Below are 14,860 nucleotides of genomic sequence, written 5' to 3' on the forward strand. Positions count from 1 at the left end.
GCATTGGCATAGAAAAAGACAAATAGATCAGGAGAACTAAAGAAAGAATCCGGAAATGTTTTCTAGTGTATGTATGTTAATTTGCTCGTGTGTGAGTCTGTGTGGTGTGTGTTTATCTTCCAATAAAACTTTATGGGCACTGAAATTTGAATTTCATATGATTTCACATGTCATGAAATATTATTCTTTAAAAAAATCTTTTCAACCACCTAAGAATGTAAAAAACATTTTTGTAATGGTATGAGAATAAGGAAAACAATAAAAAATGCAGTACTTTCTTTTTAAAAATATGAATGGAATGGTAAGGCATTTTACTTTTCTTTCTAAGAACGTCGAATGAATAATAAATAAAAAGTCTTTTTAAAGTATGATGTGTGCTTTTAGAAACTGAAAATGGATGAATTTGGCACTTCTCATTCTTTTAATTCAGGATGTTAAAAATGGAAACTCTATATTGAGGTTCAAATCTCATGTAGCTCAACTTATAAATTGTTGACAACAAAGTTTAAGAATATATTTACATGGCATTTGTAAAAAGCTACTGTCTTGCATAATGGTCCCAAAGGAGTTTATTATAGTTTTAGGAGATTCTCAATTGTTGGGATTCTGTCTCAGCATGGTACAGTGTTTCACTAAATATAGGTAGCTATATTTTTCTATTATATATACAAACCGTATTAAATTGATTTGTAGTTCTCATTGATTTAGAGGCTAAGGATAGCCTGACTTCAGGCTAAGTACTTTAAAAATAATTACCTTGAATAATATTCAGCCTTAAAAAGGAAGGAAATCCTGTCACATGATACAGCATGCATAAACCTTGAGGACACTACACTAAGTGAAATAAGCTAGTCACCAAAAGACAAATACTGTGTAATTCCACTTATATGAAGTATCTAAAGTAGTCAAGTTCATAGAAACATAAAGTAGAATTGTGGTTGCCAGAGGACAGGGTGTGTGGGGGAGGAAATGAGGAGCTGTTTGAGGAGTATAGAGTTTCAGTTTTATGAGATGAAAAAATTCTGGAGATCCATTGCACAACAATGTAAATGTGCATAACCTTAGACACCTGCACATTTTAAAATGGTAAATTTTATGTTATATGTTTTTTGTCACAATTAAAAATAAAAAAAATTACCTTAAGTTACATGAGTGCTTGTAAAATCTCTGATGTTTGATAAAGCATACTTTATTTTCACAGTTGTAATATAAAGGATTTGTTGACAACATGTTTTTTCCAGGGTAATGGAAAATTCTATTGAAGCCCAGTAAATAACAAGTATTTATTAATTGCCTACTATGAACAAGACATTGAGAGTTATGCATAACATTTCTATAGAAATGTAGATATGTATATATAGTTGTTGGCACAAGTCCCAAAAACATAAATTAAATGACAATTCAAGAGACAAAAACTGTCAAGAACATAATAGAAGTCACAGCACAGTATATGATTAATAGTTAAGTGAAGGTTACTAGATAAATCTTTAGCCTAATTTAACAGGTGTAATAACTAATATAAGTGATGTGCATATGTCCTACATATATGGGTAGGTAGCTGCAGAAATGTTTCCTAACATATTTGTAGTAGAAAAGAATTGATATTCATTACACATCATTAGGTTTCTGCACAACTCTTCTATATATGGTACTCAAATTTACCCTTATTAGCTCCCACCCCCACCTTTTTTTTTTTAATATATAAAGGTTAGGTCTCAAAAGTAATCAGGTAATTTCAAATTCATGCAAACAAACCTTGGAATATGTAAGTGCAAAGCATTCTACCAATTAGTGTCAGCTACCAATATACTAAAATAAAATGTTTTTTCTCTACCTTCTCTCTCACATTCCCCCTATTTATCATAATGCAACCTTTAACTTCTCTTTTCCTGCTCTTATCAAAACACACACACAACCCTGATTCTCCCAGTTCTCATAGTAGGGTCTGGGGTAACAATACAGCAGACAGGGGAAAGGCAAGGAAGGGAAGAAAAGGCTTCAGCCATCAAGGGATCCTTCCTCCCTTCCAGTGGATCTTTCCTCCCTTCCAATAAGAATCTCATAATCTAGTAGTCTTCAGCCTCCTTACAACTCTTCTCAGTCCCCTCCTCACTAGTACACTCCTCAGAGAATGTTATACTAGATGAAGCAAACAAATCTTAGGAAATGCTTGGAATGACCACACTAATTCCTAGGGATTAGCTAGAATATTTTCCTGTGCCTGAAATACACTCTTCCAGTAACATGTGTCCTAATTTTGTTTTTATTTTTGTAATCATATTTCTTATCTGTAATATTAGGGGATAGACAAATAGATGTCTAGACTTATTTTAATTTTCAAACTTTGAGATTCTAGAACTGAAAAATAAATCTTAAAAAAAAAAGGTTTTTTTATTTTTAGTAAAGGGCACTAGATGGCACAATTCCACCAATTTATGCTAATAAAATCACTCATCCTTTTATTCACATATAAAATAATTTAACTTTACAGTTACACTTAAATAATTTGACAGAAAACCTATATAACAAAGGTAAAAGTTCTTGAAAATATAATATTTCTAATATACCACATTTTATATCCTTATTCATTAACAGAATAACCAGAATCCCAACCCTGCATGAATAATTTGTTACCCAAAGTAAATAGGTATCTCTCTATAATAAAATGCAGCAAAAACTTACAGATATTGAACATTAATTTGTATCAAATGTACATTTTATAGTATTACTGATAATATAATAAAACTCTATCCAACAATAAAGTGAACTGGTGGTTCCATTGACTACAAATGCTTAAAATAAGGTACTAGAAAGACTAAACGCTCACAAGTCTGATTTATTTTTACTAACTGCTTGCCTTAGACCTTAGTTTCCTCAAGCCTAAAAATGAAAAAGTTGATCTAGAAACAATCAGAAATGATTAAGGTCTACTTGATTTAGCATTCAGTCGACCTCTTATTCCTTTAAAGTACCATATTTACCACAAAAGTCCCAGATCTGTCCAGTGTTTTTACTATCACTTCATTCCCTGGGATTATTTATAGTTCAGAAAACTTATCAGTCCTTAAGCTACATTTTGACATATAAGACACAGCACATCAGCCAAACAAACAGAATGTACACTGCACTTGGACCATCTTCCAACTGTGGCTTAGGCTCTTGGAGTAGTCCTACCTTGCCATTAGATGGCAAACACTCCTGCTAGGTGGTGCAATCAACAGCGGTAGAAAGAGGTTCTAAGAGAGAAATGCCCCTACTTAGATATTCTTGCCTGATGAAAAACTCTTCTCTTAGGAGGAAAGTCATCATCTTGGGCAAAAGTAACAGCTTCTAGAAGTTCACATGTAAAGAGGAAGTAGAGAAAATGACATCTACCTTGCTAAATACACTGTCGCAAGTTATTCTACATATTAATGGAGGGACATGGTATACAGCTAGATTTCTTTTACATTGCAACAAACTAGACAGAGCAGGGTGGTGGATGTGGAGGGGAGGGGGAATGAAAAGAAGTTACAATTCCTACAGAGGAACTCTTAAAGAAGTACCGGAGACTGTTGAAGGTTGTGTCTGTAAATGGTTTCTCAATGGTAATACTAAGTGGGCAGCGGTTTCTTACAGGAAGTTGTTCCCAGGTACCTAAGGCAGCTTATCTATAACAGCTGGACTAATATTCTCTCTATATCTGCCATAATCCTATTAAATGTTTTACAGAAAGACTTGTAAGAAACCCAAATTATAGCCATAATGCTGCTGTTATCTATAAGCTCAACAAGTTAATCAGCTCTCTCTCCCTCTTTTTTTTTTTTTTTTTTTTTTTTTGAGACGGAGTCTTGCTTTGTCGCCCAGGCTGGAGTGCAGTGGCATGACCTCTGCTCACTGCAACCTCCACCTCCCTGGTTCAAGCGATTCTCCTGCCTCAGCCTCCCGAGTAACTGGGACTACAGGCACCCGCCACCATGCCCGCCTAATTTTTTGTATTTTTAGTACGGGGTTTCATCGTTTTAGCCAGGATGGTCTCAATCTCCTGACCTCATGATCCGCCTGCCTCGGCCTCCCAAAGTGCTGAGATTACAGGCATGAGCCACCGTGCACGGCCAGCTCTCTCTTTTTAAGATAATTTACCATGATAGGATGGAGAGAATTTTTTGTTTTTGAATACTAAAACTGTACTTACACAGCCTCTTTTTTGTCTCTCCTAAAATAATTTTTAACCAGTATTCTAACCACCATGTATTAAACATCATGAAAAATAATGAGGAAAAGAGTACTATCCAGATGATAGTATTTGTAAAAATAAAATATCAATATATGGTATAGAGAATATATGAACCCATTCAACACTTTTAAGAGAAGCATTATAATGTGGTTATATAATGGACATTGCGGTTTATTCCCCAACATTTCCATTCCATCCCAGAAGACTATGTGAGCAAATTATGGTAATTCATTCCCTTTGTCATTGATTAGTTCAGAAAAGGACATAGGACCCAACTGTGGCTGTGGTAGGCATCACTCTAAAATGGCTCCCCAGAGATTTCCCATTCAAATTCCTAAAAACTACAGATATAATGAGATGGCACTCTCATGACTAAGTTATGTTATAAGGCACAGCTTACCTAAAAATAGGGAGATTATCCAGGTGGGCCACATCTAATTACATAAGCACTAAAAGCAGAGAGGTTCTTCAGCTGATGGCAGAATGGAAAGTCAGAGAGAGTTGAAGCATGAGAAGGATTCAAGGGAACCACCTGATGAGGGATGCAGAGAGCCACAAGGGGCTGAGAGGAATCCCCAACTGATAGCCCACGAGGAAACAAGGACAAAATCCTACAACCACAGAGAACAGGATTTTGTCAATGAACTTAGTGAGCTTGGAAGTAGATTCTTCCTCAAATCCTCCCAGCCCAGCCCATCCTCCACTTTGGATTGGGCATTGTAAGGCACTAAATAGAGAACCCAATTGTGCCCCCCAGGACTCTGACCTACAGAACTGCGAGATAATAAATAAGTGTGGTTTGGTGCTACAAAATGTGTGGTAATTTGTTATGACAGCAGTAGAAAGCTAACACAGTAGCCAAAGAGCTGTAAAATAGAGACTTCTAGGAGTTCTAGGGAAATTTTACTTATTTCTAAGTAAATATTTCTAGGTATTTATTTTACTTATTTCTAAGAAGGAGCCGCAGAACAAAATGTTGTCTCTTCTTTCTCTAGATATTGCATTGTCTAGACCTAATGGCTAGAGCTGACTTGTCGATGTAGAGGATTATGTTGACAGAATTTCTGAAAACTAGATCACCCTACAATCACAGAATAAACCTTATGTGGCAATAATGTATAGGACGTAGGCAGAATAGAAATTGGGCAACTTTAGATCCTCATGCCATTGAAGAGGTTAACCTTGGAGCTGCTAATATGTGAGATAATAAATTTCTTTATTGTCTACATGAGTTTGAGTCAGGGTTTCTATTACTTACAGACAAAATATTTTAACTGATGGGCTTGTTGACATAAAACTAGTCAAATTATATCTAGAAACACAGTTTTAGGTGAAAGAACACTGGGCATAGAAACAAGACACAAGATAACACCATGGTCTGGTGGTCTGGTTGCTTATTACCTGTATAACCGTGGGCAGGTTACCTAGTCTCACTGATCCTGTATTTCCTCAGGTAAAAAGCAGAAGTACTAATACCCAATTCACTGGGTTATTGTGAGAATTATCTATGATACAAAATATGAAGTTATGTAGCATAGCATCTGAAATACCATAATTATTCAATAAAGGGTCTTTGTCCTAAAATAATATGTAAAGCAAAAGAGAAAAATTTGTTCAGGAAGAAAAAAGTTAATCAAGAAAAATGACAAGTTTTTTTAAAAGGTTTTTTTCTTAAAGGTATGGTAAAGGATAAATGCATAGAATGTTAAATATGAAAGCCAAGTATTCTAATTTTATTGTTTTATTGTCTGGTATGATTTATTATTGAAGTATACAAAACTTTCAGAAAGAGACAATTTTAAAAGATTATATGTTTGCTATGTTACAAACCAAATACTAATGTTAAAGGAAAGATAAAAGATTGTCTTAAAGTCATAAATACGGTTTGCAACCAAAGCAATTAATGTAACCAACTTACATTGACTATTTTGTTCCATCATGTCATCTGATTGATTTAAATTTTAAAGTATTCACTAGTTTTTATGAGATTAAAAGAGATATCTCAAATTAAAAATAACCAGTTATGAAGCACCTGTATGGTTTAAGAACTGAGTCACCAGATGTCTATATTAGTTTGCTAGGGTTGCTGTAACAAAGTAACCACAACCTGGGCAGCTTAAGCAACAGAATTTATTGTTTCACAGTTCTGGAGGATAGAAGTCCAAAATTAAGATATCAGCAGGACTGGTTCCTTCTGAGGGCTGTGAGGGAATAATTTCCAGGCCTCTGTCCTTGACTGGCAGATGATCCTCTTTTCCCTATGGTTCTTCACATCATCTTCCCTCTATGCACACCCATGTCTAAATTTCCTCTTCTTATAAGTACCCCAATCATATTGGATTAGGGACCACTCTGAATGCCTTATTTTAACTTCAGTACCTCTGTAAAACCCCTCTCTAAGTAAGGTCACATTGTGAGGTACCGGGAGTTAGGACTTCAACATATAAATTTGGGAGGACACAATTCAACACATAAACACTATCTGAAACACATTCTCTGCCCTCAAGGAGCTTTCAGCCTAATGTGTGATATATACATTTATTCTCTATCTTCTATTTATTCAACTTTGAATTTAAAGAAAAAACACTAAGTTGCTTTTGTAATGATGATAATATGAAGTATTCAAATTGCATGAATTGTAGTTTCAGTTGTGTTTCGTATAATACCAAGTTGGTACTTTCTAAAAATAATTATCTTAAATATATGTCTCAATATTTGCTTGAATTCAATTATTGTTTCCTTCATATTGGGGAATTGATTTAAATCTGATATATCCAGCTGTAGTTATATATTTATTTAATTTCTCACACATGTATCTAATTTTCTTCCCTTTTAAATCTGCATATCTAATTAAATTGAACAAATTCAATAAAGATTATAAGGAAGATATCTCTGTAATGACATGAAAAAATTCTACCTAATACCAATTTATATGGTTACAAAATTTAAAGTTTGGTCAACAAAAGTGAATTTTTATTTTCATAGTATGAAATGCCAAAACATTGCCAATACTCAGGAATTTGTATCTAGTTAGTTAAATAAGTATAAATACAGGAAAGGTCAGGGTTGAGATATAGACTTGTAAGTCAGCTCACAAGATATATTAAAAACCATGTTAGCAGGAGCTGAGTGCAGTGGCTTATGCCTGTAAGCCCAGCACTTTGGGAGGCCGAGACAGGAGGATCATTTGAGCTCAGGAGTTCAAGACCAGCCTGGGCAATATAGCAAGATCCTGTCTCTACAAAAAATAAAAAACGTTAGCCAGCCATGGTGGCACATGGCTGTAGTCACTGCTACTCAGGATGCTGAGGTGGGAGGGTCACTTGAGTCCAGGAGTTCGATACTGCAGTGAGCTGTGGCTGCCCTCCTGCACTCCAGGGTGGGCCACAGAGCGAGACTCTGTCTCAAAAAAATAAAAATAAAAACCATGTTTGGAGACCGATTTGAGTAATAATAAAACTCCAGTCTCCCACACAGCCAGCTCTGTGTAAATTACTCTTTCTTTATTGCAATTCCCCTATCTTGATAAATCAGCTGTCTAGGCAGCAGGCAAGGTGAACCCATTGGGTAGTTGCAAATTTGGTGACTTGTCTAGGATTGCCCTTGTGGCTACCTGCCCATGGTTCAGTAGCCTCCCTCCAGTGATGGATCCAGAGGCCAGCTCAAGTGATTGAGACATGTATTTAAGATCATTATTTTTAGAAAGTACCAACTTAGACACACCTGAAACTGCCAGACACACCTGACACTACCTGAAACTACAGACACACCTGAAACTATAATTAGTGCAATGTATTACAATTACTACAATTAGTGCAATGTATTACACTACACTACAATTACACTAAAACTACAATTAGTGCAATGTATTACAATTACTACAATTAGTGCAATGTAGTTTCAGACACACCTGAAACTACAATTAGTGCAGCCATACCAGACACACCTGAAACTACAATTAGTGCAATGTGAATACTTCATATTATCATCATTACGAAAGCAACTGAGTGTTTTTTCTTTAAATTCAAAGTTGAATGAATAGAAGATAGAGAATAAATGTATATATCACATACTAGGCTGAAAGCTCCTTGAGGAGCTTTCCAGAGAATGTTTCAGATAGTGTTATGTGTTGAATTGTGTCCTCCCAAATTTATATGTTGAAGTCCTAACTCCCAGTACCTCACAATGTGACCTTAATTAGAGAGGGGTTTTACAGAGGTACTGAAGTTAAAATAAGGCATTCAGTGTGGTCCCTAATCCAATATGACTGGGGTATTTATAAGAAGAGGAAATTTAGACACGGGTGTACATAGAGGGAAGATGATGTGAAGAGCCACAGGGAAAAAAGGATCATCTGCCAGTCAAGGACAGAGGCCCGGAACTTATTCCCTCACAGCCCTCAGAAGGAACCAACCCTGTTGACACCTTGATTTTAAACTTCTATCCTTCAGAACTGTGAAACAATAAATTCTGTTGCTTAAGCTGCCTGGATTGTATTTACTTGTTACAGCAACCCTAGCAAACTAATACAGATAGCTGGCAACTCAGTTCTTGAAGCATGCAGGTGCTTCATAACTGGTTATTTTTAAGGTGTGATACCTCTTTAGTCTCAGAACAACTAGTGCATTCCTTAAGTGGCCTAGTTCTCTTGGACTAAGGTTGACTCTGGTACTGTCTCTTCTGGCAGGGTGCTGCTGACCCAGTGTGCATGGACTTCATTGATATAGAGAAATAGTCCTGGGAGACATCCCATAATTGTACCCCATGGTGGGGTGTCTTTGTCTGTAGCCCCACAATGGAGTATATGTAACTGTAGTCCTATCACAGGGTACCTGTCTATAGCCCTGTCACGGAGTGTTTATAGCTGTAGCCCCATTATGGGGTGTCTGGTTTGGTGAGTATTTTAGGTGCTGCCAATGCCTCCTTCCTCCTCCCAGTTGGTTTGGCTCCCTCAGAGGTCTTGGTTTTTCTGTAGCCCTATGGTGAGATGTCTGTCTATGGCCCCATTCAGGGGTGTCTGTCTCACTTTGGCCCCTTCGGATGTCTCAGTTTTTCTGCTCCCCCATGGTAGAGTGTCTGTCTCGGTTTGGCTCCTTCAGGAGTCTTGGTTGGCTCTCTCTAATTAGTAGTAAGAGTCTTGGGAAAGCTCTCAGTCAGGAAGATTTCAGGGAGAGTTCTCAAATGGAGAATAGGAGGATAGTTTGGAAGGGATACTCTTGGAATTCTTGGATAAGGACCTTGATTTGGAAGTCCTTCTGTCTATTTTGTCTTTGTGTGTGTTTGTATACGTGGAGGGGATTTCAAAAGAAATTACTGACAGAACTCCACCAGGCCTAACTCAGAGAACCCTCCTTACTTGTCTAGTCACATTTGGTGAGCCCTGAAGAAAGTTCAACAGGCCTGAGTTGGGGCAAGTATCTGCTCTTCATCTTGCCCAGAGGCCACCTATTGAATTACCAGTCAGAGATCATCCCTCCCCACCTGGAGTGGATCAAAGACAACAGGGACCAACAGGAGAAAGTATGAGCCTTGCCAAGTCCATATTGGGTGCTGAACAAGGTGACTAGTGTCCATTTTGTTATGTGCATTTTGCTTTGACTGGGATGGAAAATGCTAATTCAATGCCCCATGCAGCCCATTGGGCAGCATCTTGCAAAATTGAGAATCTTTTGCCTATGGTTTCATGAAACAGAAAAGGGTAATTTCATTTTGTAAGGTGGCTTGAGCACAGCAAGCAGGGCCATCAAAAGCTTGCTCCATTCTTCTGGAAACTGCAGAGAAAGGAAACCCAGAAACCTGGTGTGCCAGCAAAAAGGGTAAGAAATTCTTACCAGCCACGTTTCTACTCTCTCTCTCTTTCTCTCTCTCTCTCTCGTGTGTGTCTCTGTGTGTGTGTGTGTGTGTGTGTGTGTAATGATAAACATCATTATTTGTCTCCTCTGCAAGAGTTTGATTAATAGAAATAAAAGGATTTGTGAGACTAGTCTTAGGCTGCAGCAAATCTGGTTTACTTTGTGCTAAGAATGTGTCTGTAATGGAGACAGGGGTATCACAGGATAGAACATGTGCTTAGGACCTCTATAAGCCTGCTTTCCATCCAGCCCAGAAAGGTGATCGGTTACAATTTTTTCTCCAGGTCCCTGAAACTAATACCGAATGAAATTTCTCTGTCTAGTTTTGTGTTTTTAAGAGCTTAACATTGTGACCATATGAGGATACTTTCTCTTGGTTTCTGCCATCCAGAGGACAAGAATTTGGGGGTTCATGTCATAGTTAGCCCTAAAAATTGTCTTGAGCAGTTAAGAGCCTTTGCAAGATTGAAATTGGCCACTCTAGACTTCTTCTGGGAAGAGCAATAGAAACTGCTCCATGCTGTGTAGCTCAGTAGCTAAGCCTTTGTCTTTTGACAATGGTGGCCTGGGTTCAATTCTTGGCTACTGGAATGAATCCTTTCTGGCTTGTTATTTGTGTAACTTTGCCATTTGTTGAGGGTTTTTCCCCCTTGGATAGCTTCTGATTTTCGGTCTTGGATTTTCCTTTCTCTAAACTACCCTTGGGGAGATTCTAAATCTTGTAGAAAAAAAGAAACTGCTTACCATCTCTCTGAGACACTTTATGCGTGCATGGTTAAGTTATAACCTTAGTTACAACTTATTAATTTCATGTGGGAAGTTACCTGTGGTAGAATTCAAAAGCCAGAAATATTGGCTGCCCTGGTTAGAGTCGGTAATAAGAGACTTAAAATAATTTTTTTTTTAGAAACAAAGCTCTATAGTAAATATCAGCTTAATTAAAAACAAATATCCAAGCTGTATCTATTTAAGAGGACTTTATCTTTCTTTTCTTCTTGAATCGTGTTTTTCCGAAAAAAAGTTTTTTCTACTCAGAAGACTAAATTGTTCTTCTCCATTTTGTCTTCTTGCCACTCTTGATACCCACATCAGAGAAACTAAGATAAATTCTAACAGCCTGGGACTCCTGGGGAAAAGCAGAGGAGGCACCACAGACCCCATTCTGGGAAAAACCTCTGTTTTCCACACAGAAGCCCAGAAATTGAATGAGAATAGATCCCTCTCAAAATCGAAGGCTCTGTTCTGTTTTGCATTGTTTTAACTGATGCTTTTGACTTTTGTGGGTATCAGAAATTACTTCACATTATAAGGGAAACTTGGTGTGTACTAACTAGGCAGGAAATATACTTTTGGGGATGGCTAATGGCATTTATGGGGGGATACACAGCTCTTTGATGTTTCAATTAGAGAAGCATGCTCTTAGCCACCTAAAATATATGGAAACATCCCCAATCCCCACTGAAAGAGACTCCAATGGAGGATGAGCTGATTACAAAATGGACTGTTTAGCTTTGGGTTGCCTTGCAATGAAATGCATGGTAGAAGCACTGCACTATTTTCTCCCATAGTATTTCCCTCCTTTTGGGGTATCCAGGATCCAGTATAAAATGGCACCCTTAATTTTGGGGATCTGTCTTTGCCTTCCAGCTGTGCCTGCTTATTGGGCTCTAGAAACTACATACTTTCCTGACCCTGTTCCTCCAAGGGCTCTACCCTGAAGCCAGTAATCCAATTAAGATACTACTAAATGGGCTAGGTGTGGTGACTCATGACTGTAATCCCAGCACTTTCGGAGGCTGAGGTGGGTGGATCACCTGAGGTCAGGAGCTCGAGACCCCCCAGCCTGACCAACATGGAGAAACCCCGTCTCTACTAAAAATACAAAATTAGCCAGATGTGGTGGTGCATGCCTGTAATCCCTGCTACTCGGGAGGCTGAGGCAGGAGAATCGCTTGAACCTGGGAGGCGGAGGTTGCGGCGAGGCAATATTGTGCCATTGCACTCCAGCCTGGGCAACAAGAGCAAAACTCAGTCTCAAAAAAAAAAAAAAATGAAAAGAAACAGAAACAGGTAAATGAAAAATCTTACAAGTGCTGAATCTTCTCTCTTTCTGTCTATGTATTAATATGTGTTATGTGTGTGGTGTTTATATAAAAAGAGCTCTGATTAATTGGCTTAGAAAAATAAGCACTTAAGTCAAATATTTTGTCAGAAAAATAGAAACTTTAATGCCTTTTTGTTCATGTGACTTTAGTAATCTTTTGGAAATAAAGACAGTTTTAAAGATTATTGACAAAATGAAAATGTCTTCCAAATGTAGACATTTGGTCTAAATTAAGGTCAGATATCAGATTTGCTAAATGCTTTAAGGTCATAAACTGCTTCTTTGACTTTTGAAAATTGTTCCATTTACCTCCTTTAGAGCATTAGATTCTAGATGAGGCCTGAGGACATGTGGAGTTAACCATGCCCCCTGGCTATGCTGGAAAGAGACAAACCTTATCTTCATTTCTGTCTGACATCCTAGGCTCCACACCTAGTACATAATTAAAGTAGCTTACTTATCAGGTTTTCCCCAAAAATAAAAGTTGTTAAAAGTTAACATTGTAACATGCAATTGAGACTACTAAAGAGACAGTTTTACATACAAGGTGCATAAGGAAAGTAGAATGTGTTTTTGGTAAAAGCTTATAAGAAGGCATGGGAATGTGGCTTTTGTTAAAATGTAATTTTGTCTAGTTCAGAGGGTTTTAAAGATTGTCTTAACCTAAAAGAGTAATGGGACAAAACTGAAGGTTTAAGCAAGGTGAAAAGGGTTTGTGAAGGATTGGTCTTGGAAAGAAAGTTTGGTGGATATGAGCAATTTGGCTAAGATTTTAAGGGGATAATTTAATTTTTTTCCATTGGTTGAACATTAAAGTACAAGCACATTAATGCAGGGCCAGAACCTGGGCCCATGTGTCTGAATAACAGGGTTTTCTTAGAAAATTGTTCTACTGTTTAACAGAAAAATTGTAAAGGGTTCCAAAAACTTTATGAAAATCTTACCTTATGGTCAAACTAAGTTTAGTTTAGTTTTGTTTTGTTTTGTTTTGTTTTGTTTTGTTTTTGAGACAGAGTCTCACTCTGTCACCAGGCTGGAGTGCAGTGGCGTGATCTCGGCTCACTACTGCCTCTGCCTCCTGGGTTCAAGCAATTTTCCTGCCTCAGCCTCCTGAGTAACTGGGATTACAGCCATGCACCACCATGCCCGGCTAATTTTGTATCTTTAGTAGAGACGGGGTTTCTCCATGTTGGTCAGGCTGGTCTGGAACTTCCGACCTCAGGTGATCCACCCACCTTGGCTTCCCAAAGTGCTGGGATTACAGGCATGAGCCACTGTGCCCAGCAGTCAAACTAATTAAAACTGGATAGGGTTACAAAGTTTTATTTAGAAACTCGTTTTAGCATTAAAGATGCATTAAAGCAAACAAAAAATCTGGTTTTTTCTTTCAAAAAAGATTTTTATGTAATATTAAAAGAAAATGAAAGGTTTTTGTTTGCCCCTTTGGGTAAATGGCAGAGGAAAAAAGGGGAGGAGAGAGAAGAGACACATTCAGTTGGCCTCATTCTGTCTTCACTGGGTCTTGTTTGGAAAACTAAGTCTCTTCTATCAGAGTAAAGGTTTTTGCCTTTTAAAAAAATTTTTTTGAGTTACCACTTTGGATAAATGAATAACCTGTTATTCTATTTTGTGATATTCAGTGTTTTAAACCTTTGATAGTTGACAGATTTTCTAAAATCAAATTATATAGTATGTCATTTTCTGACCTAATTAATCCTTTAGACATTAGGTCCCCAGAAGTTCAAAAATGATATGTTTGGCTTATTTGGTATAAAAATTATACAGGAAGCATTGTCAAATATGAAATGGTGCTTGGCTTTCTTTGGGCTGTATTTGTATAAATATGTTATTAGAACGTGTTCCAAAATTATGGGAAACTTCAATAATTTTGATATGATTTAGTGTACGTTATTAACAGCTATAGTTATGTAAATTTGTTGTATGTCACAAAAGCAACCAAAATTCCTAGTCAATTGTAGCTTTAATAGTGGCTGTCCTAAAACTTTTGTCATCCACAGACATTTTGTCTTGCTTTGGTCCTTTTCAAAAGGTGGTTTATAATCAGATATAGGACTCTAAGTGCAGATCTCTGATAACTTTAAAAATTGTGCTATTGGAATAGAGGAAATAAATGGAATTTCTAGGACTCTCATGGAGAGCTGATGTGTTAAACATTGCTAATCCTCTTGTTTTCAGACTCAAGAGAACTTATTTCTTTTGACCTATTTGCAACTTTTAACAAGTGAGTAAAGTGTACTCCTGGGAACAACATTTGGAGCATATTGCTTTCCCTCTGTGATTTCTTCAGGATTTAGAAACTTTCTGTGAGTATTCTCAACTTATGGCAGTATGATTATTTGCATAAGTGCAATAAGAATCTGTCTTCTTTACTAACAGGACACAATTGGAGAAACTGGTTATTTTAGCAAGGCTTTCACTAAAATGTCATTCATTCTTTAAGGAATCAAAGTGGACTTATAGAGCCAATAAAAGCCCCTCAGGAAAACTGGCCTCATGCCTTGTCTACACAGTCCCTGTACAGGGTTCCTGACCTGTGATAAGTGAGGAATGTCACTTTCTGATAGGCCCAGAAGTCCCAGGTTATCTTGGGACCTTAAAGTGAGGAGTTCACAGGCATTTGCAGGCATAGATAAATCTGTAGCTGGGCTTCAAGGCTTTTAGAAAGTA

Source organism: Homo sapiens, chromosome 4 (genome assembly GCF_000001405.40).
Source record: "Homo sapiens chromosome 4, GRCh38.p14 Primary Assembly".
Taxonomy (NCBI): domain Eukaryota; kingdom Metazoa; phylum Chordata; class Mammalia; order Primates; family Hominidae; genus Homo; species Homo sapiens.